Source organism: Homo sapiens, chromosome 2 (genome assembly GCF_000001405.40).
Source record: "Homo sapiens chromosome 2, GRCh38.p14 Primary Assembly".
In the NCBI taxonomy this organism is placed as follows: domain Eukaryota; kingdom Metazoa; phylum Chordata; class Mammalia; order Primates; family Hominidae; genus Homo; species Homo sapiens.
This window is the reverse complement of record NC_000002.12, coordinates 87,333,253-87,359,462: the sequence shown is the minus strand read 5'-3', so window position 1 is coordinate 87,359,462 and position 26,210 is coordinate 87,333,253. Positions and strand designations below refer to the sequence as shown.

The 26,210-nt window shown below is 50.2% G+C and overlaps 1 protein-coding gene, 1 long non-coding RNA gene and 1 pseudogene across 5 annotated transcripts, besides 3 other annotated features; 1 reads left to right on the top strand and 2 right to left on the bottom strand.

Annotated features, from left to right (window-relative positions):
* Positions 1 to 727: 727 nt before the first annotated feature.
* On the bottom strand, positions 728 to 10,303 carry LOC105377635 (uncharacterized). The gene is made up of 3 exons (XR_940325.3): positions 9,949 to 10,303; positions 8,070 to 8,239; positions 728 to 7,198 (listed from the first exon to the last, which is right to left on the bottom strand). It is a non-coding gene; the product is annotated as an uncharacterized LOC105377635 (long non-coding RNA).
* Positions 3,353 to 4,197: an enhancer, noted in NCBI's record as "H3K27ac-H3K4me1 hESC enhancer chr2:87582389-87583233 (GRCh37/hg19 assembly coordinates)". NCBI's record gives its function as "activates a minimal SCP1, AML or CMV promoter by ChIP-STARR-seq in primed H9 embryonic stem cells {active_cell/tissue: H9 hESC(primed)}" and the evidence as "EXISTENCE:reporter gene assay evidence [ECO:0000049][PMID:30033119]".
* Positions 4,198 to 5,042: an enhancer, noted in NCBI's record as "H3K27ac-H3K4me1 hESC enhancer chr2:87581544-87582388 (GRCh37/hg19 assembly coordinates)". NCBI's record gives its function as "activates a minimal SCP1, AML or CMV promoter by ChIP-STARR-seq in primed H9 embryonic stem cells {active_cell/tissue: H9 hESC(primed)}" and the evidence as "EXISTENCE:reporter gene assay evidence [ECO:0000049][PMID:30033119]".
* Positions 10,304 to 10,640: 337 nt separating the features above from the next.
* Positions 10,641 to 19,519, top strand: LOC124907854 (uncharacterized). Of its 4 annotated transcripts, none has more exons than XM_047446730.1 (2): positions 10,641 to 10,804; positions 14,201 to 19,519. In XM_047446730.1, the coding sequence occupies exon 2, from the start codon at positions 17,011 to 17,013 to the stop codon at positions 17,854 to 17,856; it is 846 nt and encodes a 281-aa protein (XP_047302686.1). In that variant the 5' UTR covers positions 10,641 to 10,804; positions 14,201 to 17,010; the 3' UTR covers positions 17,857 to 19,519. The 4 variants fall into 4 exon arrangements, with proteins under 4 accessions (XP_047302686.1, XP_047302690.1, XP_047302689.1 ...); XM_047446734.1 differs by having other exon boundaries at positions 10,691 to 10,804; positions 14,261 to 19,519; XM_047446733.1 differs by lacking the exon at positions 10,641 to 10,804 and adding an exon at positions 10,818 to 11,257.
* Positions 17,503 to 18,006: an enhancer, noted in NCBI's record as "H3K27ac-H3K4me1 hESC enhancer chr2:91757725-91758235 (GRCh37/hg19 assembly coordinates)". NCBI's record gives its function as "activates a minimal SCP1, AML or CMV promoter by ChIP-STARR-seq in naive H9 embryonic stem cells {active_cell/tissue: H9 hESC(naive)}" and the evidence as "EXISTENCE:reporter gene assay evidence [ECO:0000049][PMID:30033119]".
* LOC100652743 (ig kappa chain V-III region VH-like pseudogene) lies at positions 20,388 to 20,738 on the bottom strand (annotated as a pseudogene).

Sequence of the window (26,210 nt, the reverse complement as noted above, 5' to 3'; positions counted from 1 at the left end):
TAGGATGCCCTCAGTGATGTTAAATTTAAAAATTGTTTCTTTTCATGCATGCATTTTTATGTTTATATGTATTTATATTTATATTTACTAATATTTCTTTTTACTTATTTTTATTTATATTTTTACTTATTTCTTTATTCATAGACAAGGTCCTGTTCTGTGGCCTAGGCTGGAATGCAGTGGTGCATTCACAGTTCACTGCAGCCTCGAGAAAACCTCCCACATTAGCCTCCCAGGTAGCTGGGACCCCAGGTGCGCACCACCACACCTGGTTAATATTTTATTATTTGTAGAGATGGAGTCTTGCTATTCTGCCCAGGCTGGTCTCAAATTCCTGGGCTCAAGCAATCCTCCTGCACTGGCAACCCAAAATGCTGGGATGACAGATATGAGCCACAGTGCCCAACCTATTTATTTATTTGTTTAATAAGGACAAGGTCTCACTATGTTGCCCAGGCTGGTCAACTCCTGGACTCAAATGATTCTCCAAACTTGGCCTCTCAAAATGTTGGGATTACAGGTATGAGCCACCATGCCTGGCCTAAAAATAGTATTATATTTTTGTATCATATAATTTTCAATTAGGTAATATGAATATTCTGTACAGGAAATACGCCCTTAATTACATAGGAATAAACATTTGTTACACTGAGAAAAATCTAATAGAGCTAAAAATAAAAATTAATTTGGAAAGGTAATTAGATACTGATACATTCTTACATTTACACATTCTTTCATATATTCATATATTCTTTTAACAGTATCAATGGTTTGGAGTTATGTGTACAAAACCATGACCTATATGTAATACAACTAATAACAGGCATTTACAATTCAAGGCATATTATATACAAAGCTTTAACTTCTTATCAAAATATTTTGTTTTTTTTCTTTCTGTTTTGGCAGATACTATGAACACAACATTCAACTCACAGACACCATGGAGCCCTTACTAAGCATAAAGTACTGTGAAAAGCCAGGGCTAGGACAGAACTAAGACAGGGCCAGGGATAGGACAGAACAGGGGCAGGGTCATGGCCAGAGAAAAACCAGGGGCAGGGTCACGGCCAGGGACATGAGAGGACCAAGGCCAGGGCCAGAAGCAGGGCAGAACCAGGGCCAGGGCAGGGACATGGCAGGGCCAGGGCCATGGCAGGATCAGGGTCAGCAGAAGGCCAGGGCAAGGCTAGGGTAGCACAGGGCCAAGGCAGGGCAGGGTCAGTGTAGAGCAAGGAACGGGCCAGGGTATGGCAGGGCAGGGACAGGGAGGTCCAGGGCCAGAGTCAGGTCCAGGACATGGACAGGACAGGGCCAGAAATATGGCAGGACCAGAAAGGGGACAGGGCAAGGGCAAGGCCAGAGAAGGACCATGGAAAAAACATGGCCAGGGAGGGTCCAGGGCAAGGGCAAGGCCAGGGCAGAACCAGAGCCAGAGCAGGCCAAAGGCAGGGCCAGGGCAGGGCAAGGCCAGGGTAGGGCGGGGCCAGTGTAGGGTGAGGGTAGGGCCAGGGTGAGTTCAGGGCCAGGGCAGGACTAAGATAGCACAGGGCCAAGGCAGGGCCAGGGCAGGGCCAAAAGGAGGGGCCAGGGCCAAGCATGGCCAGTGTCAGACCTGGGGATTGTCAGGGCCAGGGTCAGGGTCAAGGCTGGGCCAGGGACAGGGCCAGAGCAAGGGCAGGGCCAGGGAGAAAGCAGAACCAGAGAGGATCCAGAGCAAGGCCAGGGTCAGGGCAGAACCAGGACCAGGATAAGGCAAAGCCAAGGCCAGGGCAGGGCAAGGCCAGGGCAAGGCAAGACCAGGGGAAGGGCAAGGCCAGGGTAGAAAAGGCCAGTGTAGGGCCAGGCCAGGGTAGGAGAAGGCCATGGTAGGGCCAAGGCCAAGGCAGGGCAGGGCTAGGGTAGCACAGGGCATGGCCAAAAACAGGGCAGGGCCATAACAGTGGCAGGACTAGCAACAGGGCCAGGGCAAGCGCTGGACCAGAGCATGGTGGGGACAATACAGGGCCAGGACAGACGATGGCAAGGCAGGTCCAGGGCCATTTCATGGACTCGGTAGGCCTGGGGTCAGGCCAGGGCAGGGCAAAGGCAAGACCAGGGAGAAGGCAGGGCCGGGGCCAAGGCAGTGCCAGGGCAGGGCAGGACCAGTGCAGGGCCAATGCAGGGTGAGGGCAAGGCCAGGGCATGGAAGGGCAGGGCAGGACCAAGGAAGGGCCAGGAGAGGGCCACGGCAGGGTCACGGCCAGAAGAAGGGTATGGCTGGGGTCAGGAATATGGTAGGACAAGGGCTGGGCCCAGGCTGGGACACGCAGGGCAGAGCATGATCTATGCAAGGCACAGCCAGAGCCAGGCCATAGAGATGGGAGGGCAACACCAAGGCAGAGTCAGGGTAGATCCAGGGCTGAGCAGAGTCAGGGCAGGTCCAGAGTAGAGGCAGAGCTAGGGCCCAAGCAGGGCCATGGTAGCACCAGGGCAGAGGAGGGCAGGGCAATGCAGGACTGGGCCATGGCAGTGCCTGGTCAACTCCGGGGCAGGGCCAGAAGCAGGACAGGGCCAGGGCCAGTGCTCAGGCCAGGGACAGGGCATGACAGGAAGTGCCAGAGCAGGGCTGGGCCAACGTTGGGGCAGGGCAAATCAGACCAGGACACTTCCAAGTCCATCTCTGGCCCTGCCTTGGCCCTGGCCCCTTCCTGGCCTGACCTTGTCCCTGGCCCTGCCCTATCCATGCCCTGTGTGTTTGACCAGTGTTTTGTAACCAGAATCCTACAAGAAACTTAAATTAGTTCTTTTTGTGCATTTTTAGTAGAGATGGGGTTTCACAATGTTGCCCAGGCTGGTTCCAAACTCCTGAGCTCAAGCCATCTGCCTGCTTTGGCCTCCCAAAGTGCTGGGATTACAGGAGTAATCTGGCCAAGTATTTAACTTCTTTATGCCTGTTTCCTACATTTGGAAAATGGGGATGCTTTAAGTACCTAGCACATAGAATTATTGTGAGAATCAATGCCTCACATATTAACATATTGATAAAATTATACTCATAGAACACTACTGGAAGCAAAGATAGTATTAGTTAAAATTTAGTGATTACTGCAAATATTATTACTATTACAAACAATATAGTATAGACATTACTACTACTATAGTTATCTTAAAAATCTAAAATAAAAATTTTACGTAATAGCCCAATGTAATCTCTCCTGCTCTGTCCTGGCTCAGCCCTAGTGCCGGCTCTGCCCCTAGTCCTACTACATCCCTGGCCCTGACCCTTCCCTGGTCCAGCCGCTGCCCTGGCCCTTCCCATCTTCAGGCCTTACCATGGCCCTACCCTGGTCCTGACCCTGCCCTGGTCTGGTCCTGACCCTGGCCCTACCCCAGAGAAGGGGTATGGCAGAGCCAGGGAAGGGCCAGGGCAAATAAGGGACAGGACACACCCAAATCCAGGAAAGGGCCAGGGCCATGACAGAGCCAGGGCGAGTCCTTGGCAGGGCCAGGTTCCAGGCCAGGGCCAGGAAAGGGTCATGGCAGGGTCACTGTATGGCCAAGGTCCAGGCCAAAGCCAAGGCAGTGGCAGGGTCAGGTCTGCATAAGGGCAGGACCAGAGCCAGTGATACGGCAGGGCCAGGGCCAGGGCCAGGGCTGTGCCAGGACAGAACAAGAGCAGAGCAGGGCAGGACCAGAGCCAGGCCATAGAGAGAGTAAGGCAAATGCCAAGGCAAGGCCAGGGTAGTGCCAGGGCTGAGGCAAGATCAGGGAAGGTCCAGGGCTCAGTCAAGGCTAGAACCAAGACAGGGGCAAAGGCCGGGGCAGGTCTAGGGCACAAGCAGGGCAGGCTAGGGCAGGGCAATGGCAAGACCAGGCCATGGCAGGGCCAGCCCAGGATAGAACAGGGCACAGGCAGGGCAGGGCCAGGGCCACGGCTGGGGCAGGACAAGGACCAGGACTGGGGTCCAGGCCAGGGCAAGGGTATGGCCAGGGCAGAGGTAGGGCCAGAGCCAGGGTCTGGGCAGGACCAAGGCAGGTCTATTGCAGGGCCAGGGTTCAGACCAGGGCCAGAGCAGGGCTGGGACAGGGCCAGGGCCAGAACCAGGAAAGGGCAATGTCAGGACAAGGGCCGTGGCAGGACCAGCAATGGGGCTGGGGCCAGGACAGGGACAGGGACAGGGTCAGGGCTAGGGCCAGAATAGCATGCCAGGGTAGAGCCACGCCAAATTAGGGCCAGGACAGGGTCAGGACCAGGGCTGGGCCAGGGCATGGCCTTAAGTAGCGAAGGGCCAGGGCCAGGGTCCATGCCAGTGCCAGCGCTGGTCCAGGGCAGACGCAGGGCCATGGCCAGATCTAGGACAAGGCTGGGGCAGGGCCAAGGTCTGGGTCAGGGTCAGCAGAAGGCCAGGACAGAGCCAGGGGAGGGACAGGGCCATGGTAAGACCAGGTTACATCAGGGACAAGACACCTGCAAATCCACTTCAGGGCCAGGGTCAGGGCAGGGCCAGTTCAGGGCCAGGGCCAAGACAGGGCCAGGGCTGCCAGGGTCATTGGCAGGGCCAGGGCCATGGCAGGACCGGGGTCAGGAGCAGGGGTCAATGCCAGGCCAAGGCCACACATAGGACCAGGTCTGTGCTAGGGCCAGTGTGAGGGCCAAGGCAGGGTCAGGGCAGGGCCAAAGGGAGGGCAGGGCCAGGGCAGGGTGGAGCAGGCCCAGGGTAGCACAGGGTTAAGGTAGTTCACGACCAACCAGGGCAGGTCTATGGTTGGGGCCGGGGCAGGGCCAGAGCCAGGGCACAGCCAAGACAGTGGCAGCTCCTGGGCAGGGCCAGGGTTAGGACCATGGACATGTCCAAGGCCAGTTCCAGGGCAAGAGCAAGGGCAGGAGCAGGACCAGGTTCATCTAAGAACCAGGGACAAAGCCAGGCCCAGAGCTGGGCCAGGACAGGTACCTGGCAGGGCTAGGGTCTGAGACAGGGCCACGGCAGGACCAGGGCCACAACCAGGTCTGTGCTATGGCCAGGTCCAACACAGTGCCCAGGTAAGGCTAGGGTGAAGGCCAAGGTAGGGCCAGGGCAGGGTCAAAGCCAGGCTAGGGCCAAGGCAGGGCCAGGGCCGGCAAGGCAGGGCCAGGAAAGCATAGGGCCAGGGCAGGGCGGGGCCAGGACAGTGCCAAGACCTGGGCAGGGCCAGGGCCAGGGCCACGGCCACGGCCTGGGGAAGACCAGGTTCGGGGCAGGAGCAAAACAATGGCAAGGACAGTGCAGGTTCTTGGCACAGCCAGGGTCCAGGACAGTGTCAGGGCAGGGCCAAGGCAGGGTCTGGGCCATGGTAAGACCAGCAACAGGGCTGGGGCTAGGCCAGTGACAGGACCAGAGTCAGGGCAAGGGCCAGAGCAGTGCAAGGCCAGGGTAGGGCCAGGCATTTCAGGGTCAGGGCCAGGGGAGAACCAGGGCAAGTTCTCAAGCAGGGAAGGGCCAGGGCCAGGACAGGTCCAGGGCAGGGCCATGACAGGGCCAGGGGCTGCGTTAGGGCAAGGGCAGGGCCACAGCAAGGTAAGGGTCAGGGCCAAGGCCAGGGTAGGGACAGGGCAAGAAATATGGCATGACCAGGGGCAATGCCAAGGCCAAGGTTGGGCCAGGGCTGAGCCAGGACTGAGTCAGGGCAGGGCAGGGCAGGGCATGGTATGGCCAGTGCAGGACAGGACAAGAGCCGGTCCACAGAGAGAGCAGAGCTGATGCCAAGAAAGAGCCAGGCTAGTGCCGAGGCTGAGGCAGTGTCAGAGCATGTCCAGGGCAGGGCCGGGGCCAGGGCCAGAACCGAGCCAGGGCACAGCCAAGGCAGGGTAGGGAAGGGAAATAGCACGGCCGGGACAGTACTGGGACAGGACAGAGCAGGGCAAGGAGATGGTAGCGGCAGGGCAGGGACAGGCCAATGCAGAGCCATGTTATGCCGGGGCCAGGACACCTCCAAGTCCACTTCAGGGCCAGGGCTATGGCAGGACAAAGACCACGGCCAGGATCAGGGCCAGGTCTGTGCTAGGGCCAGCTCCAGAGCAGGGTCTAGCGAAGACTAGGGTGAGGGCCAAGGTAAGGCCAGGGCAGGGTCAAAGGCAGAGTAGGGCCAGGGCAGGGTGATGACACATCCAGAGCGCAGCAGGGCAGGGTGATGGCAAGACCAGGGGCAGACCATTGCCAGCTCAGGGCCAGGGAAAGTCCAGTGCAGAGCCAGGAAAGGGTCTGGGTCTGGGTCAGGGCCAGGAACAAGGCAGAGCAGGGCCAGGGCCATGGCAGAGTCAGGGCAGGTCCTTGACAGGACCAGGTTCCAGGCCAGGGCCAGGGCAGCAGCAGGGGCAGGGCCTGGATAAGGGCAGGGCCAGGGATATGGCAGGACCAGGGCTAGGGCCAGGGCCAGGCCACAGTGAGGGCAGGGCAAAAGCCAAGGGCAGGGTCAGGGCAGGTCCAGGGCAGGTCCAGGGAGCGGCCAGCACCAAGCGGGGCCAAGTCACAACCAGCGCAGGGTAAGGCAGGGCAATGGCACCACTGGGCCATGACAGGGCAAGGTCAGTGCCAGGAGAGGGCAGAACAGGCAGGCCCATGGTGGGGCCAGGGCAGGGATGGGCCAAAGCAGGGCCAGGACATGTCCAAGGCCAGGTCAGGGCCAGAACAGGAGCAGGACCATGACCATTGGCAGGGCCAGTGCCATGACACGACCAGGGTCAGGACAAGAGGCAGGGCCAGAGCCACGGCCAGAGCCAAGGTCAGGCCAGTGCAGGTTCAGGGCAGAGCCAGTGCCAGGGCAAGACCAGGGCAGGGACAGGGTAGCACAGGGCCAAGACAGGGTCAGGATGGGACCAGAGCAGGACAGGGCCGAGAGTCCAAGTAACAGTAGGGCAGGTACAGGGCAAGGCAGGGCAGTACAGGGCCAGATCCACGGCAGGCGCAGGGCAAAGCCAGGCCCATTGCCAATGCACCAGCCCTCCTTACAAGGCTCCTACCATCTGGCCACTGCTGCAGCCCGTCCATCGCTCTAAGCCTGACCCCCAACCCTGGCTGCAGCCGCCTGCCCTCCTAGCGCAGCCGCTCTCCTACCGCTCTGGCGCACTGCAGTCTCCGTCACTGCCGCCCACCCGCAGCGAGGCGAGCCATGGTGTCGCAGGCTCTAGGTGTCTCCTCCTCTTCCTGGCACAGAGCAGCTGGGCGGGCAAAGCCAGAAAAGCCTAGAGAAAGACGTGAGGGGTGGAAGGGTTAGAGCCTCAACTTGTCATGCCGGCCACTGGGTGGCAGGGGCCAGTTTCAGCAAAGGCACTCACACCCACCCTCCAAAGTCCAGCCTCTCCTTTTGGCCCAAGCTGGGCAGGAACTGGGGTCTGGGGTGGGTGCTGGAGACACCACAGCACCCAGCTCCCCACTCCACAGGAACCATTGGGCCCACTGGGGCTGCACTCCTCGGGGAGCAGGAGAAGCAGAAAAATTCAGACCCAGCCAGCCCTCCACACCCAGGTGCCAATTCCTGTTCCGGACGCCTCCACGCACAGGGCCCTGTCCCCCGTGGTGTCCCCAGGGGTGCCTGGCAGCCTCTGAGGCACAGACCCACAGTACACAGGCCCAGGAACCAGGAACCACGGTGGGTGTGGGGGCTCTGCCATGCTCAGGATTCCCACGCAAACGCTGCGTGCCCTGCTGCACTCCAGTATGACCAAGAGTGGGTCGCCCTCTGGAGTGTGGAGTCAGGGAGAGGAGAACCACTCCTTCCTGGGATGCCAACTCTGTTGACCGACACCAGCAGTGCAGCCCCTGATAGCACCGAACTCGCCCCCGCTCCACTGCTAGTCCTGCCCTCAATAGCGCCCCCCACCTCCGTCCCCCAATGCCGCCAGTAGCGTATAACCGATAGTGCCCTAACCTGTCCTCCTCCATGGGCATTGCAGCCCCAGAAAGCACCCATAACCCACCCTCCCTGCCGTGGGCAGTGCAGCCCTGTACAGTGCTACCAACCAGTACCCCTAATGCAGGCAATGACACCCTGGATAGCGCCCTCAACCCACCCCACACTGCGAAAGGTGCAGCCCTGGATAGCCCCTGTCCTACCATCTGGTCGTCCTGCAGTCTCTGTCACCACCACCACCAACCACAGTGAGGCAAGCCAGTGGGCCACAGGCTCTAGGACCCAGCAGCCAGGCATGGAGCAGCTCTCGCTGATGGCCGGCTCCTACCACTCTGACCACGCTGCTGTCTGTCTCCGTGGCCATCTTCTTTCACTACAAAGGAATAAAACTAGGTATCAATAAGAAAAGCAATTTTGGAAACAATACAATCACATGGAAGTTAAACACTACCCTCCTGAATAAATGACTAGCGGATCAATGAAGATACTAAGACAGAAATTCAAAAATTTCATGAAACAAAGGGTAATGAAAACACAGTATACCAAAACTTGTTATGCAGAAAGCAGTACAAAGGCAGAGATTTACAGCTATAAGTGCCTACCATCCAAACAAAAGAAAACCTTCAAATAATACATCTTAAAGAACTAGTAAAGAACAAACTAAACCGAAAATAAGAAAATAAATAAGATCGTAGCACAAACAAAATTGAAATAAAAAACATACAAGATTAAATGAAAAGTTGGTTTTCTGGAAAGCTAAACAAAATTGACAAACTTTTAACCAGGCTAAGAAAAGAGACAAGATTCAAATAAATAAAATCAACAGATTAAAAAAGGAGACATTACAACTAATACTTCAGAAATTCAAAGGATCATAACTGGCTACTATATGCCAATAAATTGGAAAGCCTAGTAGAAATTGGCAAATTCCTAGATGCATACAACCTACTTAGGTTAAACAATGAAAACATCCAAGACCAGAACAGATTGGTAACAAGTAATGAGATTGAAGCCATCAGAAAAAGTCTCCCAGTAAAGAAAAGCCCAGGAACTGATGTCTTCACTGCTGATGGCTTCACACCAAACAATTTAAAGACCTAGTACGAATCCTGCTCAAACTATTTTGAAAAACAGGAGGGAATACTTCCAAACTTATTCTGTGAGACCATTATTACTGTGATACCAAAATCAGACAAAAGCATCAAAGAAGGAAACTACAGGCCAGGATCTCTAATATGGATGCAAAAATCCTCAACAAAATACCAGTGAATCAAATTCAGTAATACATTAGAAAGATAATTCATCATGATCAAGTGGGATGTATCCCTGGGACCCAAGGGTCACTCAACATACAATGTGATACATCATATCAACCAAATAAACGACAAAAACAGTATCATCACGTCAACTGAAACCGAAAAAGCATTTGATGAAATTCAACATCCCTTCATGCTATAAATCCTCAAAGAAACGGGCACAGAAGAAACATACCGCAACATAATAAAAACTACAGGAAAGACACCCACAGCTAGAATCATATGGAATGGGGAAAAATGGAAAGCTTTTCCTCTAAGATCTGGAACATGATAAGGATGCCCCCTGTCACCACTGTTGTTTAACATAGTACCAGAAATCCTAGCTAAAGCCATCAGTGCAGCCCCTGATATGGCCCCCAACCCACCCTGCCCCCTACCACCAGCAGTGTCACCCCCCCAATAGCACACCCAACATACCCAAACTGCCCCGCCTCCCCACACCATGGGCATTACAGCACCCCATAGCGCCCTCAACCCGAAACCGCCACCCCCCCGACAGCCGCACAGTGCAGCCCCGGATAGCACACTTAGCCCACCTCACTGTTGCCAGCAATACAGTCTGGGATAGTGCCCCCAACCGGCTCCCCACCAAAGGCAGTGCAGCCCCGGTTTGGCCCCCAAACCACCCCCCACCCCCCGCCCGGTGCAGGCAGCACAGCCCCAGATAGCACACCCAACCGGCCACCCAAGACGGGCAGTGACGCCTGAGATAGGGCTCCCAACCCGTCCCAGGCCACCCACAGTGCAGCCTGGATAGCGCACTTACCCCGACGCCTTTCTACGCTCTGGCTGGCTGCAGTGTCCATCGCTGCCACCAACCACAAACAGGGCTGCAAACAGGAAGGATTTTATTCACCGTCCATGCGGCCCCGAGTTGTCCCAAAGCGAGGCAGTGCCCCCAAGGTCTGTGCAGAGCAGAACGCAGCTCCGCCCTCGCGGTGCCACCGGCCCGCCCGCCCGGGTCTCTGCTGAGGAGAACATTGCTCTGCCTTCGCTGTATCTCCGAAGTGTGTGCAGAGGAGAACTCAGCTCCGCCCTCGCAATGCTCTCCGGGTCTGTGCTGAGGAGAACGCAGCTCCGCCCTCGCAAAGGCACACAGCGCTGGCGCCGGCGTGGCGGAGAGGCGGACGGCGGCGGAGAGGCGGCCAGCGGCGGCGCGGCGGAGAGGCGGATAGCGGCGGAGAGGCGGACAGCGGCGGCGCGGCGGAGAGACGGACAGCGGCGGAGAGGCGGACAGCGGCGGAGAGGCGGACAGCGGCGGCGCGGCGGAGAGACGGACAGCGGCGGAGAGGCGGACAGCGGCGGCGCGGCGGAGAGACGGATAGCGGCGGAGAGGCGGACAGCGGCGGCGCGGCGGAGAGGCGGACAGCGGCGGAGAGGTGGACAGCGGCGGAGAGGCGGACAGCGGCGGCGCGGCGGAGAGACGGACAGCGGCGGAGAGGCGGACAGCGGCGGCGCGGCGGAGAGGCGGACAGCGGCGGCGCGGCGGAGAGACGGACAGCGGCGGAGAGGCAGACAGCGGCGGCGAGGCGCGCAGCGGCGGCGCAGGCGCGGAGAGGCGCTGGCGCCGGCTCTGGCGCGGAGAGGTGCAGGCCCAGGCTCCACTCCCCAGCTGTGAAAGGGTAAGAACCGAGGGTGGCTGAGACTCGGGGTTGTTCAGGGCGGGGTGGGCTCTGGACCCAGCAGGCCCGGCACCCAGGTCAGGGCTCCAGGGGAGGCCAGGTGGGCGAAGGCCAAGAAGGGGCTGGGGCTGGTCAGGAAGGGCTCCTGGTGACCAGAGCACTTTGCGTGAGCCAGCGTGGGAGGAAGGTGGGCTAGATGAGCCAGGGAGGCGCCGGGAGGGGCCTTGGCAGAGGCGACCCCCTCCGTCACCCCCAGGCCACTGAACCCTGGGTAGCGAGAACCGACAGGGGAGGCTGCAGACAGAGGAGTGGAGGCTCCCCGGCTTTGGGGGCTCTGAGTAGAAGCATCTAGGGGGTCCCTCAAGAGGCCCCCAAACGCTTCCCCATGGTGAGAAAAGAAGGCGCAGAGAGGGGCACGGCGCCGGCGCAGAGGGGCACACAGCGAGATTTGCTGTGAGTTCTTTTATTGCCCCAAGTGTACCTCATCTTGGTAGATTTCTATTGGCTTTAAAAATGTGTGTGTTTTGCTGTTGGGGAGTGGGGTGTTATACGGATGTCAGATTTTGCTGGTTGACTGTTCAGATCTTTTGTAAATCCTTGCTCCTTTTCTGCCTAGTTTCACTCTGTCACTTACACTAGAGTGCGGTGGCACGAACATGACTCACTGCAGCCTTGACTTCCTAGGGTCAAGTACTCCCCCTGGCTTAATCTCCTGAGTAGCTGGTACTATAGGTGTGTGCCGCCACACCTGGCTAAATTTAAAATTTTTTGGAGAGATGAGGCCTTGCTATGTTGCCCAGGCTCGAACTCCTGGCCTCAAGCTATCCTTTGTTTTTGCCTCCCAGAGTTCTGGGATTACAGGCATGAGCCACTGTGCCCGGCCTCTGCCTAGTTTTAACAGTTGCTAAGAGGAGGATGTTGAAGTAGATGTCTTCTTGGTGGGTTAATCCTTTTGTCATTAAGCAGTTGTTATGGTCACTTCCTTTTCACCCCATTGGTGAAGGAGGGGTCCCTGCCCTAAAGTGTAGGAGATGGCCGAACATGACACCTGGCGTGGATGGATGAGATTGACAGCAGTGTTTTAGTCGCATATACCCACAGCTCGGAGGAGGACACTGCATGCCACACAGGGTCAGATGGGCACCGCACTCTGTAGTGGAGTGAGGGCTGCGGGCTGAGGAAGCAGGCGGGCTTGGTAGTAACAAGAGCACACGATGACCAATGGTTCCCGAGGGGGAATGCAATTGGCTTGTTTGAATAAATTCATGGGCTGGCAGACAGGTGAAGCGAAACTTCTTAGGCTGAGGTGCAACTGTTCTGGCTGATAAAAGAACTAGCCAGGTGGGGAGCCTTTCCTGTTGGGTGGCGGGGTAGGGGGTGTCTGGTAGAAACAGGAAAACCCACGGCTAGGCCTTTGGGGCCCTGTGAGGCTCAAAGATGTCAAGGCAGCATAGGAAATTTTAGATCTTAAAATTCAGCGAAGACCCTCTCCAGCTCTGGTAAATTATTTTGCTTGAAGTCTACTTCATGAAATATTAATATAGTCACTCCTGCTTCCTTAAAAAATTAATGATTTCACAGGATATCTTTCTCCATTCTTTTACTTTCAACCTACTTAGGTCCTTAAGTGAGTTTGAAGTTTCTCATGAACAGTATTTAGTTGGGCCATGTGTTTATTATAGGCTCTCCATCAATCTGTCTTTTGGTTTATTTAGACCATTTACATTTAAGGTGCTTATTGTTACATAATTGCTTATGCCTGATGTTTTTATTATTTGCTTTTTTGTTTCCTTTTTCTTTCCCTCCATCTTGATCTATTTCTGTAAAATGTTGTTGCGTGTATCTCTTTGTATAGTCTTAAAGTGTTTGCTCTGGATGTTACAATATGTGTATTGTAATATAGTAGTCTACTGGTACCAGTATTTACCACTTCAAAGTGTGGAAACCTGCCTTGCATTTATGTCTCTTTACCTTTTCCACTTGTATAAATCACTGGCTTGAGTATTAGGTGGTGGTATAGTTTTTGTTTCAGTCGTCAGATGTGATTTTAAGAACTGTGGATTGTCTCGCGTATGTATCCACATTTCTCGTCTTTCCTTTGTCCCTCCTCCCATAGTCCCATATTCATCCCTTCTGCATAAGAACTTTCTATAGCCATTTTTTTATTTTGATTTTTTTGTTTTAATTTTTTGTATTGTGGAAATGACAGAACATATTTCCGTAGCCACTTTTTAGCATTTCTAAATTGACCAGTGACAAATTCCTATATTCTCTTCCTCTGAGAATGTCTTTATTTCTCTCTTCATTTCTGAAGGGTAGTTTCATGGGATATAGAATTTGCCTTTCATGTATTCAGAGGTTTTCAGTATTCGTATAATCAAACCTGATAGTTTTCCTTTTGGTTTTGAGGTTGTGTCTTGTTTGGGTGAGTCTCCTACCCCTTTGACTACAGAAATGCCCTTTCATTTTAAATATCCTCCTATTATGAAACACATTTCCACATTTTCTAAATTTTTAATTTTTAGCTGAGAAATAAATTAGTAATTATTTAAGTATTAATTATTTTTATCTTGTTATTAATTATTGGTTTTATTTATTTACATGTAGTTGGCTTACATTTAGTTTAGTTTAACTTAATTACTTTAAAGTAATGTATAAATATCTGCAGTTTGTACCTCATGTTCTCACTCATAAGTGGGAGCTGAACAATGAGAACACGTAGACACAGGGAGGGGAACATCACACACCAGGTTCTATCCAGGGGTTGGGGGCAAGGGAAAGGAGAGCATTATGACAAATACCTAATGCATGCAGGGCTTAAAACCTAGATGACAAATTGATAGGTGCAGCAAACCACCATGGCACATGTATACCTATGTAATAAACCTACATGTTCTGCACATGTATCCCAGAACTTAAAGTAAAATTTTAAAAAAAAAAATAATTAATTAAAAATATATATCTTCAGTTTGTAAACGTCCCGACAACGCAGGAACAGAGTTAAAAGAGTGTGTGTCGTCCTTAGCTGCTCCCACCCCATCGTCTCCTCCCTAGCCAACCCAGCCGCCAGTCTGGCGTGCGCCTTCAAGGTTTCTTCCTAGACACTGGCAAACAAACATCACTATTTTCTGCCACATGGTATCTTTTAAACACACACGATTGTTTTGTGCAGAAACTTTCTATTTTTACCTCTCATAAGTGTCCTGTGGATTCTTTCCACGTCACTGTGGTGTGTGTGCGTGTGTGAGATTCAAGTTCAGCTTGCTAATCTTGTAGAAAGAATTACACTCCACTTCCCCTGTGCTCTGGCCCTCCCTAACACAGCAGCCCATCCCTGGAGGCTGATGGAGCCCCTCGAGCACCTGCTTACCATTTCTGTTTGTTCTGTTTGTTCAGGTTTTCTGCCTCCTGCTAAGCCAATTTATACATTCCAAGAAAATCTTCCATTTCATCCAGGTGAAACGGAACCTACTGGAATGAAGCTGGCCTCCCATGGAATGAAGCTGGCCTCCCGTCTCCTTGATTTGAAGCAGCTTCTCCACGTTGGTTATTATGCCATTTTTCTAAATCTAACATTTTAAAATTTGTGCCTTTTCTTTCTCTTTTGCTTGACTTCTCAGAGGTTTTTTTAACGGTCTTTTCAAAGAAGTGGTTTTGGGTTTTATTTATCAAGTCTACTTTTATTATGGCTGTTTTAAAATTAAATACATTTATTTCTTGTTTCCCTTAAAAAAGCTTCTTGTATGTTTACTTAGTTTATATAATTTTATATGTCTTCTGTTGAAGCATATTAACAAACACTTCCAGCTATAACGTTTCCCCTGAGAACTGCTTTGGACACATCCAGAGATTTTGATAGGTCACACACTTATTGTAGTTTGTTTCTGAAAAGTTTTTCATTTTAGTTTTTATTTTCTCTTTTACTCAAATTATCATGAGCTTTCTCCTTTTATCCTGTTTCTGACAAATTAATCTGAGGATATAAATTTCTCCCTAAATGTCAATTTTGTTGAGTTTCATAATTTTAATATGTAATACCCTATTGCTATTGAGTTCCAGGCATTTTATAATTTTCATTGTGAAAACTAACTTTGTTTCCAAAACACACTTTTTCTTCTTTTTTGAGACAGAGTTTCACTCTGTCACTCAGGCTGGAGTGCAGTAGCACAATCTCATCTCACTGCAACCTCTGCCTCCTAAGTTTAGGTGATTTTGTTGCCTCAGCCTCCCTAGTAGCCGGGTTTACAGGCTCTTGCCACTATGCCTGGCTAATTTTTTGTATTTTTAGTAGAGACAGGGTTTCGTCATGTTGCCCAGGCTGGTCTCGATCTCCTGACCTGGGGTGATCCACCCGCTTCAGCCTCTCAAAGTGCTGCGATTACAGGCATGAGCCACCGTGCCCGGCCCCAAAATGCACTTTTAACATGGTCTTTGTTATTGCATGTTTCTAATTTTGTTGCACCCTGGTGAGAGAATGTGATTTGTGTAACAGCAATTCTTGGGAAAGGGGCTGAGGCTTCCTGCTCCTTTAGCACAGCTAAATTTTCCCAAACGCCATCCATGAGCTTGGAAAGAGCATTGTACTCTGTTGGGATGGGCTCAAATCTCTCTGTAAAAATGAGTGTTCTTCTGTTGTTGTTGTTCTGTTTTTTGTTTGTTTTGTTTTGTTTGTTTTTTGTCTCAGTCGTTTTGTTTGCTCAGATCTTTTGATGATCCGGATGATCTTTTAATTTATGCAGGATGTTTCTCTGCTTGTGCAGGCTGGTGGGATTGGGGACTGGAGAGAGGATAAGTGTCTGCTTGCCCAGGACTGGCAAACTGTCACTTGCCCTGGTTGTGCCTTGCCAGGAGCTCCCGTGCCTGTCTCTGAGAGTGTCATGAGCGCAGCGGTGGTAGTTGTGTGGTGGATGCATTTCCCCTGGGTTGGGGGGTGGGTGGCTGGTCCTAGCTCTGTTTGTTGTTGCCGATGAGACACAGCACACTTCTGCTTCCTGATGGATCTTGTCGGTCATTTGACTTCTTCCTGGTCTGGGTTCCTGAGCTGGCCCTCCACAGGCCAAGCAGGAATGGAGCTGGCTGCTACAAGAGTTCCTTCACTAGAGGGCATCTCTCCTCTCTCCTCCCACACATGGGAGCACAAGGGTGGGCTTTCCTCCGCCCACTGTGATCCGCAGCCCGGCTTTCCCCTCCTCACCCTCTGCTCTCAGACAGACTTGCTTTTCGCTGGTGTCTGTGAGAGGTGATTCTTCATGGTGCCAAGAATATGGATTTTTTTGAGAGCAGGCTCTCTCACAGATATTTGCACACCCATGTTCAAAGCAGCGTGATTCACAAGAGTCAAAAGGTAGAAGCATTCTGAGGGTCTATGGGTGAGTGGATGGGCAAGCGAAATGTGGTTATGCATACAGTAGACTGTTACTGAACCTTTACCAGGAAGGAGATTCTTTTTTTTCTTTCTTTTTGTGGAAAATGCGGTCTCGCTATATTGCCCAGGCAGGTCTCGAACTCCTGGGTTCAAGCTATCTTCCTACCTCTGTCTCCCTAACAGCTAGGATAATAGGCGTGAGCCTATAATATCACCCAGCCAGGAGGGAAATTCTGAGAGGTGTGCCAACACGCATGAACCTTGAGGACATTGTGCTAGATGGAATAAGCCAGCCACAAAAGGACAAATACATTGCGATTTCACTTACATGAGGGGCCCAGAATGGGCAAATTCAAATACAGAAAGAGCAATGGTTAACAAAAGGAGGGAGTTGGTGTTCAGTGGGTATGGTTTCCTTTTGGGAAGATGAAGAAGTTCTGGAGATGGACGGTGGTAGGGGATATGCGACAATGTGAGTGCACTTAATGCCGGTTATAACAAGGGGAGTGCGTGTGCACACGGCTCTGGGAGTTCTCGTGCAGCACTCAGAGCTCAGCGTGGGCGAGGGCGTCACCCCTCTGGGGGCGTCCATGGGGCCTTGGAGAAGGGAGGCTCCAGGGCACCAGAGCAGTCTACCCGGAGAGGCCGGGCCGAGAGCTTGTTCACCCCCAGCCCTCTTAGGGAACTTTCACATGCTTCTCCCACTAGGCCTAGGCACCCCTCCCTACCCTCCCTACCCTCCTGGTTCCCTGACCCTCAGTGACTGTGTCCTTCAAGACTGAACTCCAGAGTCCCCACCCGAGGACCCGCAGTGCCCAGCCCCCGCGAGCTCGCGGGGTGTATGCCCACCCCGAGGCTCCACCGTGCCTGTGTGCTGGGAAGCCTGGCTCCATGGGACCCTCGGGCTCTGGGTGCGCCGTCGCTGCAGCTGCCAGCAGCTCCTGAGGAAGTGGCTCGAGGCCCTGGGGCGGGCCAGGCATGCGGTGGGCCCGCTGCCCTCACACCGGCCCCGGCCACACACAGGAGGCGCAATCAGCAGAGACGTTGGACAGGGTTGGACACTGGCTGTCTCTTTCGGGCCTCGGTTTTCACGTCTGAAATAAAAGCGAGCATCCTGGCCCTGGTGCTGTGCCTCTGCCGCGGTAGAGGTTTCCACCCCTATGAGCCCAGTGCACCTTCCAGGCTCGAGGGAGAGGGAGTGTGCGTGCGTGTGAACGCGTCACACTCTTGTGTGAATGCGTCATACTCTTGTGAAAGACTGTGCGTGTGCACACGCGTGTACGTGCATGTGAACGCGTCAGGGTGCCTGAGGATGCACACATGCACGTGTGAGTGTGCGCGAGTGCGTGCTCAGAGGACAGCTCTCAGCAGGCTGGGGACCTCCTTCCTCTCACCCCTGAGGGTTTTGGGGGACCAGCCCCCGTCTCCGGGTGCTGTGGGATGTCCTGGGGCGAGCTCGCACCGCTGTGCTCGGGCTCCGGCTTTGTGGGGACCCGGCCTTCCCGGCCCGCACCACGGGGAGTTCCACGCAGCACCCACGAGGTGGCGCCGCAGACTCGCTACCGCGGAGCGCGGCGGCTCCTGGCTCCCAGCAGCCTTGCCTACAGCTGTGGCCAGGGCGATCCCTCTCAGGCCCAGGCCGCTGCTGCCAGGAAGAGCAGGAACAACAGCCAGTCACGCCTGGTGATGCCTCTGAAGTGCTTATGCTCCCAGGCATGGGCTGACCGCAACGTGCATTCTCTCCTTTTATGCCCCTACTATTTGGAACGCTGTATTTTTTCATTTTTATTTTTATTTTTTGTTGTAAATCTGCCACTTAAAAATACCCAGGGTGGAGCTAAAAGTACAGACACTGCTCAACTTACCCCTGGCTGCGGCCCGATAAGGCCGCTGCGAGTGGAAAATGACTGAGTCCACCTGACTACCGAATAGCACAGCGTGGGGGGGCCCACCTTGGCCTGCTGAGAACACTGCCCTGAGCCTGCGGTGGGCAGAAGCATCAACACGAAGCCTGTTTTGTAGTCAAGTGTCGGATACCTCATGTAATCATTGACTGCTGTACTGAAAGCGAAAAACTGGCCGTGTGGGACTCACACGAGGGTTTCTGCTGACTGTGGATGGCTTTTGCATCACTATAAAGTTGAAAACTGTTAAGTGGAACTGCGGTAAGTCGGGGCTGTGTGCACTAGAGACCTGAGTTCTGCCGCTCCATAGCTGTGTGACTTTGGACACATATTTGAGCCTGAGTGTCTTCCACACAAAATGGATTTCTTAGCATAACCTACACATGTGTACGTGCCTGTGAGCGTGCACGTGTGTGTTTGCATGAACACATCTGTGTATGCACGAGTGTGTGCACATTTGTATGTGTCTGTGTAAGTCCGTATGTACATTTGTGTGCATGTCTGTGTGTGCATATGTTTGTATGTGTGTGTGCTATGCATGTGTGTGTTAAGGCCCTGGGGTGGAGCTGAGGAGTTGAGGGGAGATGCTGGGAGGGCAGCCAGCACCAGGCGTTTGTTGGCCAGGAGAGAAGCTGCCATCCAGGTGCACTCTGGAGCTCGTGCTTCAGTGGCACAAGGCTTTGGGAGTGAGGAAGCTGGGGGCTGGGGCAGGGCAGTCCTGCACCTCAGGGGAGGTGCAGAGTGAGGCCAGGAGGATGGAAAGAGTGCCAGAGAATGGGGGAAATCTGAGGCATCAGGAAAGGAAGACACAGGCCATGGAGAGGGCAGCTGGGCCCTGGGTGAGGCCGGCCCTCAGGAAGGAGGTGCCACAGGCAGGGGAGTGCCCAGATGGAGAGCCCAGGGGTATGGACCCACGGGTGTATGACAGTGGGGGTACTCCTGAAACAGAGCAGTGTTATCCAACAAGCAGGGTTGGGACAGCTAGTTATTTCATTTAAAAAAACAGGTCAATGTCAGTCCTCATACTGTGCTTTAAAATAAGCTCCAGATGGACTCATCTTTTACATGTAAAGAATAAAAGGCAAAAAGAAAATAAAGAAAAGTCTTGTAAGCAGGTAGTTAATTGGAGGCAATCCCAGGATGCAGGAGAGAGGTGAAATACTTTTAGACCTAAAATTTGAAAAATATAGTAAAAATGATTCCCATATGTGCCTCTTTCAGCTTGCTCTAATGTCAGCATCATAAATAACCACAGCATAAGTATCACAACCATGAAATGAACATAGATATAATGTTATTTGTTAACTCATTTAAAATACCATATGGATTTCACTGATTTTTCCCGTTGATGACTTTTTTTATGTTACAAGATAAAATTCAGGTTTCTGTATTTTATTTGGTTATCCTGTCCTTAATATCTTTAAATCTGTGATAGTTTTTCACTTTTGTTTCTCTTTCATGGCCTTCAAACATTTGAAGTTTACTGTCCAGGTATGTTGAAGAATGTCCTCCTAGTTGGGTTTGTATATGATGTTTACTACTGATTCAATTCACACCATTAATTTTTGGCAAGAATAATACAGACAGATGTATCCTCAGCGCTTCACATCAGATGTTACATAATGTCAACATGTCTTATAGGTGGTAATAAATGAATATGATCAATGAAATCCCATTTGGAAGGAAGTTTTGGACAAAAATAATGAAAACAACTGCTTCTATCACTCCTTCTACTAGGTCATTGCAGACGTCATTAGGAATAATCTATTTCTTCCTTATCGAATATGTACTTTATTTTAACAAACTTTAATCTTTTTACAGTCTACTGCATCACAGAGAAAATTGAAGAAATAATTTAGTTCACTTTTAAATGGCAAATGTTTCCATAATAACCATTTGCCACTGAAATGTTGATAGCCTGAAGAAAGAAAAAGAATGGGATTTATTCAGCCATGGTAGTATCTTCACATGAACAGCTTTTACTGAGTCAACTATTTGGATAAATAAATAGAATTTTCTACTACTTAGAATGTTGCAAAATTCAAATGGAGCAGTGTAGCATGCACTGAGCTACCTCTACTGGGAAAGTTAAGAACCACTGAGGCTATATAAGGATTCATACAGTGAGTCACTATTTCTGGAAACCTGGGATTCTGGTGCCTCAGTTGAAGAGAGTCCAAGAATCAAAGTCCAAATTATTCAATGATTTTTTTTTAGAACTGCAAAATGTCCAAATAGAGCAGAGACGCTAAAACTGAGTGGCCACATTAGCTGTCTGTAAAGGAAGCAGCTGGTAAAATCTAGTAAACACTGATGGTCTTGTTGAGGTTTTTGTTTCATGTTGAATCACTGTGGGAGGTAAGTTATAATCCTGCTGACAGTAATAAACTGCAAAATCTTCAGGCTGCAGGCTGCTGATGGTGAGAGTGAAGTCTGTCCCAGACCCACTGCCACTGAACCTGGCTGGGATGCCAGTGGCCCTGGTGGATGCACCATAGATGAGGAGCCTGGGAGCCTGCCCAGGTTTCTGCTGGTACCAGGATAAGTAGCTGCTGCTAACACTCTGACTGGCCCTGCAGGAGAGGGTGGCTCTTTCCCCTGGAGACAAAGACAGGGTGGCTGGAGACTGTGTCATTACAATTTCTCCGGTGGTATCTGAGATTGGAAATAAAACAGAAATGCACTCATGTAATCTAGATCAAACCAGCTGTCTTTGAGTAGAGCCAAAATTGTTGATCTACTTTGAATTTTAATTATATTTCTTGCTGATCAGAGAAAACTCCTGATGGAGTTTTCACTGATGTGCAAAACCACCTCATATTCCCCTCACCTGGGAGCCAGAGTAGCAGGAGGAAGAGAAGCTGTGCTGGGGCTTCCATGGTTCCGTCTGGGTCCTAACTGAGCAGTTCCTCCCCAGGGCTCTGACCCAGGCATTGATATGGGCCCTGGAAGGTAGGGCAGCTGGGAGGGACATGCAAAGCAGCTGGGGTGGGAGCTGGGCTTCCAGCTGCAGATACCACCTGCTTCTTCCTCTCTGCACTGAGCATCCTGCGCCGCCTTGGTTGTCAGGTCAGAAAAGTCTGTTGGCTCAGTCTGAGTGTAGAACTCCTCCCTTGTGCTCACAGAATTTCACTCCTGTGCCTTTCTTCTCTTCAATCACCTAAATACACCCGTATAATGTTTGGCACAAGTCTGTTAAGAACAATATAAAAGGCTGTGTTTTCATTTCTCTCTTCCTGTCCTCAATATGCCCAGTCATCTCCCTAAGTGCATTATTGGATCTATGGAAATGAAGAGTCTGTTAGAACTTAATCTTCCAGATACACATTTTTTTTTTTTTTTTTTGAGACGGAGTCTCGCTCTGTCTTCCAGGCTAGAGGGCAGTGGTGCGATCTCCACTCACTGCAAGCTCTGCCTCCCGGGTTCACGCCATTCTCCTGCCTCAGCCTCCCGAGTGCCTGGGACTACAGGCGCCTGCCACCACGCCCAGCTAATTTTTTGTATTTTTAGTAGAGACGGGGTTTCACCGTGTTAGCCAGGGTGGTCTCGATCTCCTGACCTGGTGATCCACCCACCTCGGCCTCCCAAAGTGCTGGGATTACAGGCATGAGCCACCGCGCCCGGCCCAGATACACCTTTCATTTGCTTATTAGTAATGTTTTCTGAGGGTCCTGAAGCTTTCCATTAACCCAGACACATACCCTCTTTGAGTTAAAAACTTCTGTTTACAGTCACATGTCCTGGCAGCCCTGACATAGATGCTCCATGGCTTCCCGATTGCTTGAAATTAATCAAGTAACTTAACTTCCCTGTGTCTCGGTTTCCATATCTGTGTAACTGTGACAATAGTGGTACCTGCCTTACAGTGCTGTAGACAGTTTAAAGAAAATAAGATAAAACATTTACAGTAGTATTCAGGACATTATGTGTGTGGCAATTAATTTTGTTTTCATTGTTTAAATGTTCAGCACTACAGTCATCATCATTATAAATATACTTACCATGGAAAATAGTCTTAAATCTAATCCAAGAATGTTTTATCCACAGTCAAATTAAATTCTAAGGCATTTTCTTCAGTAACTGTACACAACTCTTAAAATCCTAATGATTTGATCTTAATCTGTGCTAAAGTACTCAGACCTTCAATCATTCCCATCCATCCCTGTCTAACGCATTACTTCTCATCATCCATTATTTAAATGTTACCCTATAAATAGTTCCCATGTCCTGTTGCTGTCCTTCTTTCTTATGTAATCTTTATTCTACCTTGTTATCTTTTATGTTATTCTTGCCCCAGGACTGACAATAAGGAAAAACTACCATCATTACTTGTAGACTTGCTCCAGTATAATCTTTTCAGGCTTGTTTTCTTGGAAATGAGGACTGTGTCTTGCAAAGAAACATATTCATTGAGTCAATGTGTTATGAAATAAAAGACTTTATCTACTTATGATCCAATAATTAATTGACTGACTTGAACAGATTTTTAATGACAAAAAGGAGAAGACGATATAAGAGAAAAATTTAATACAATAGAAAACACAAGCTAATATAACACTTGCTTCATGGATTTTTACATGTATATTAGACATATGCTGGGTATATGTGTGCAATGATAATCTAAAAACTGAATGCTAAGTAGCTTAAGGAATGCCTGCATTACACTGAGTCTTGCCCACTTTTCCAGTTATGAAAAGAAAGCTACAGCACTATTTGTATGAGTATCAAACCTTCTAGATGCTGTGATAGAGGTAGAGAAGATTTACTGAGACCAAAGCCTTGGAAGTAGTAGATGCTTGTTCTATGATATTATGTGGTTGTGGTTGTTGTTGTTAGGAAATACAGTGGGAGTGAAAGCAAGGAGAAGATTTACAAGCTCTGCTCTTCCTCATACTCACAACCCCCTCTAGAGATGGACAGATGTTGGTCCAGGAATCTCTGACACCTCTTAGAAGCCTTTTGCTCTTTCCAGAATGTTTCCTGACAAGTATTGTTTTGAGTCACAGATTAGGTGAAACTAGGTGTAGAAGAAAGGACTAGAGCAAGGGAAGAAGTTTTCCATCCCAGACAGTTGTAGGAACAGGGAAATTGAATTTTTCATAGATTTATGTGATACTTTTATCATGTTGGGGAGAGAGGCATCAAACCAGGCTCATTACTGAAAGAATTATTACGTTATTTAAGAGAGAAAGAACTGTGAATTTCTTGTCAAATAGATGTTTAAAATTCAAAGCTACTGATTTTTTTTTTTTTTTTTTTGGAGATAGAATCTCACTCTGTCACCCAGGCTGGAGTGCAGTGGCACAATCTTGGCTCACTGCAACCTCCATCTCTCAATTTAAAGCAATTCTCCTGCCTCAGCCTCCCAAGTAGCTGGGATTACAGGTGTGTGCCAACATACCCAGCTAATTTTCATATTTTTAGTAGAGACGGGGTTTTGCCATGTTGGCCCGGCTGGTCTCAAACTCCTGACCTCAGGTGATCTGCCTGCCTCGGCCTCCCAAAGTGCTGGAATTGTAGGATTGAGCCACTGCGCCTGGCCCTACTGATGTATTAATATTATTCATCTTCTTGAATACACCAAGTGGTAAAGTGCAAATCCACACTTTAAACTTGAGATTTCTACTCCTATGTGAATTATACTGGTGAGGAACAAAAAAATTATCTATTGGTGGGGAGATGATGTTTGACAGCGGTCAGTTTGTGAAGCAGAGGCTTATGTCACAGGACTTTTTACAGTATTACATATAAACATGGTGAATGGCCTCAAACACAGAAGAATCAGCTTTTTTCATGAGCCATACTACCACCAAGAAAGAACTGAATTGAAACCTGTGACTACTTGATGAAGGGTGTATAAAGAAGAGGGAAAGATTTGGGAGGCCAAGGCGGGCGGACCACGAGGTCAGGAGATCAAAACCATCCTGGCTAACATGGTGAAACCCCATTTCCATTAAAAATACAAAAAAGTTAGCTGGGCGTGGTGGAGTCCCAGCTACTCGGGAGGCTGAGGCAGGAGAATGGCATGAACTGGGGAGTCGGAGGTTGCAGTGAGCCAACATTGCACCACTGCACTCCAGCCTGGGTGACAGAACAAGAATCTGTCTCAAAAAAAAAGAAGAGGGAAAGAAAAATGACACAAAACACAATATCATAAATGGAAAGGAAGAAGTCATTACACAGCCTACAGGAGTCAAAAAATAAAGAGAGGATATTATGAGTAATTTTATGTCAACTGACTTGACAAAAGTGGTGCAGGGCAGGTTCTTGGCTTCACTCAGGAAGGAATGCAGCGTAAGCTGGTGGTAGAAGAAAACAGCTTTACTGAGGTGGCAGTGTTACAGCTTTGTGACTGTTCTTGTGAAACAGAGCTACCACATAGGCATTGTGCCAAGAGCAGTAGCGTAGGGGCAGTTTTGCACTCATATTTATCCCCAGTTTTAATGACATGCTAATAAAGGAGTGGGTTATTCAGAAATAGCTAGAAAATGGGCAATAACTTTCAGGTGTTGCCATGGCAATGGTAAACTGATATGGCACTGGTGGGCATGTGTTATGGACAGGTGCTTCCAGTGTCTCTTCCTTGTGTCAGCCAGTCTTCAATCTGGTCCTGGGTTGAGTCCCACCTACCTCCTATCTCATTGCTCCCTCAGAGATTCGATACTCCTCCTTAATCTTAAGGGGACTGCAGAAGAGCAGAGTCCCTTTTCTGTAAGTGCTTCCTGCTGACTTTATGGGGGCAGGCCTTCCCTAGCCTTTGAGGAGTAAAAATCTTTGGTACCTGAACTAAGGGGCCCAATGGCACGATGCATTCATTTGTGGGGTCAGAAGACAGAATGGGTTGGAAGACTTATGACAGACCGTATCATCTTTACATGAAATTTAGAAGACATAAACTTTACTAGGATGTTAAACAAGAAAATTATAATTGGAAGAGAGGGAAAAATTAATGCTCCTAGGTCCACCTACAGAACCATGTTATTAATCTATGTGTTTGCAAAACAACAGCCTTAAGTTTTCTGTTTTATAAATGGAGGTTGTGGTGTCCACCTTTTGTGGCTGTAGGACCTTGTAAGAAACAGGTTTAGTCCTGGGCAGCTGTACCCAACTAGTGGCTTCCTGAAGCCTAACAGTAATTAAGAGTAATAAAGAATATCTGATAATGGCTCCTTATTCTGGTTATTATTGATTCTTGGGGGATCATTTTGTTGTTGTTGTTGTTGTTGTTGTTGTTTTTTCTTTGAGATGGAGTCTCGCTCTGTTGCCCAGGCTAGAGTGCAGTGGCACAATCTTGGCTGGGCTCACTGGAACCTCTGCCTCCAGTTTTCAAGCTATTTTCATGCCTCAGCCTCCTGAGTGGCTGGGATTACAGGCATGTACCACCATGCCCAGCTAATTTTGTAATATTAGTAAAGATATGGTTTTGCTATGTTGGCAAGGCTGATTTCGAACTCCTGGCCTAAGTGATCCGCCCATCTCAGCCTCCCAAAGTGTTGAGATGAAAACGTCACAGGAGCTGATGAAAAAGGAAAAGGAGACAGCAATGATCCCAGGCCTTTTTAAAGGGAGAACAAGCTGAAAGCAGCAAAACACAACAGTTAAATCTCTAAGACACTAATCTCAGAAGTTTTAAAAGAAACTCATTATCGTATCACAGGCAAAATTTTTTGTTTTACTTGTTTTTTTTTGTTTTTTTTTTTTTTAGATAGAGTCTGGCTTTGTCACCCAGGCTGGAGTGCAATAGCGTGATCTTGGCTCACTGCAACCTCCACCTCCCGGGTTTCAGCCATTCTCCTGCCTCAGCCTCCTGAGTCGCTAGGGTTACAGGTACATGCCACTGTGCCTGGCTAATTTTTGTATTTTTAGTAGAGACGAGGTTTTACTACGTTTGCCAGGCTGGTCTTGAACTCCTGACCTCAAATGATCCTCCCACCTTGGCCTCCCAAAGTGCTGGGATTATAGGCATGGGCCACCATGCCCAGCCTTAAAGCTGTATTTTTATTAAGTAAAAAAAAAGCTTGAACATTCATCCTGGAAGTTTCTTTTTGAGTCTCAGTCACAAGGGTAACTTTTAAAAGCAAATTTCTAAAATACAGTCTGATATACAGGCATTTACACCTGACTCCTGACTCGTGAC

What these genes read in the sequence shown, in the direction of transcription:
- LOC124907854 (XM_047446730.1), top strand. Translation starts at nt 17,011, where the DNA reads ATGCCCACCCCGAGGCTCCACCGTGCCTGTGTGCTGGGAAGCCTGGCT.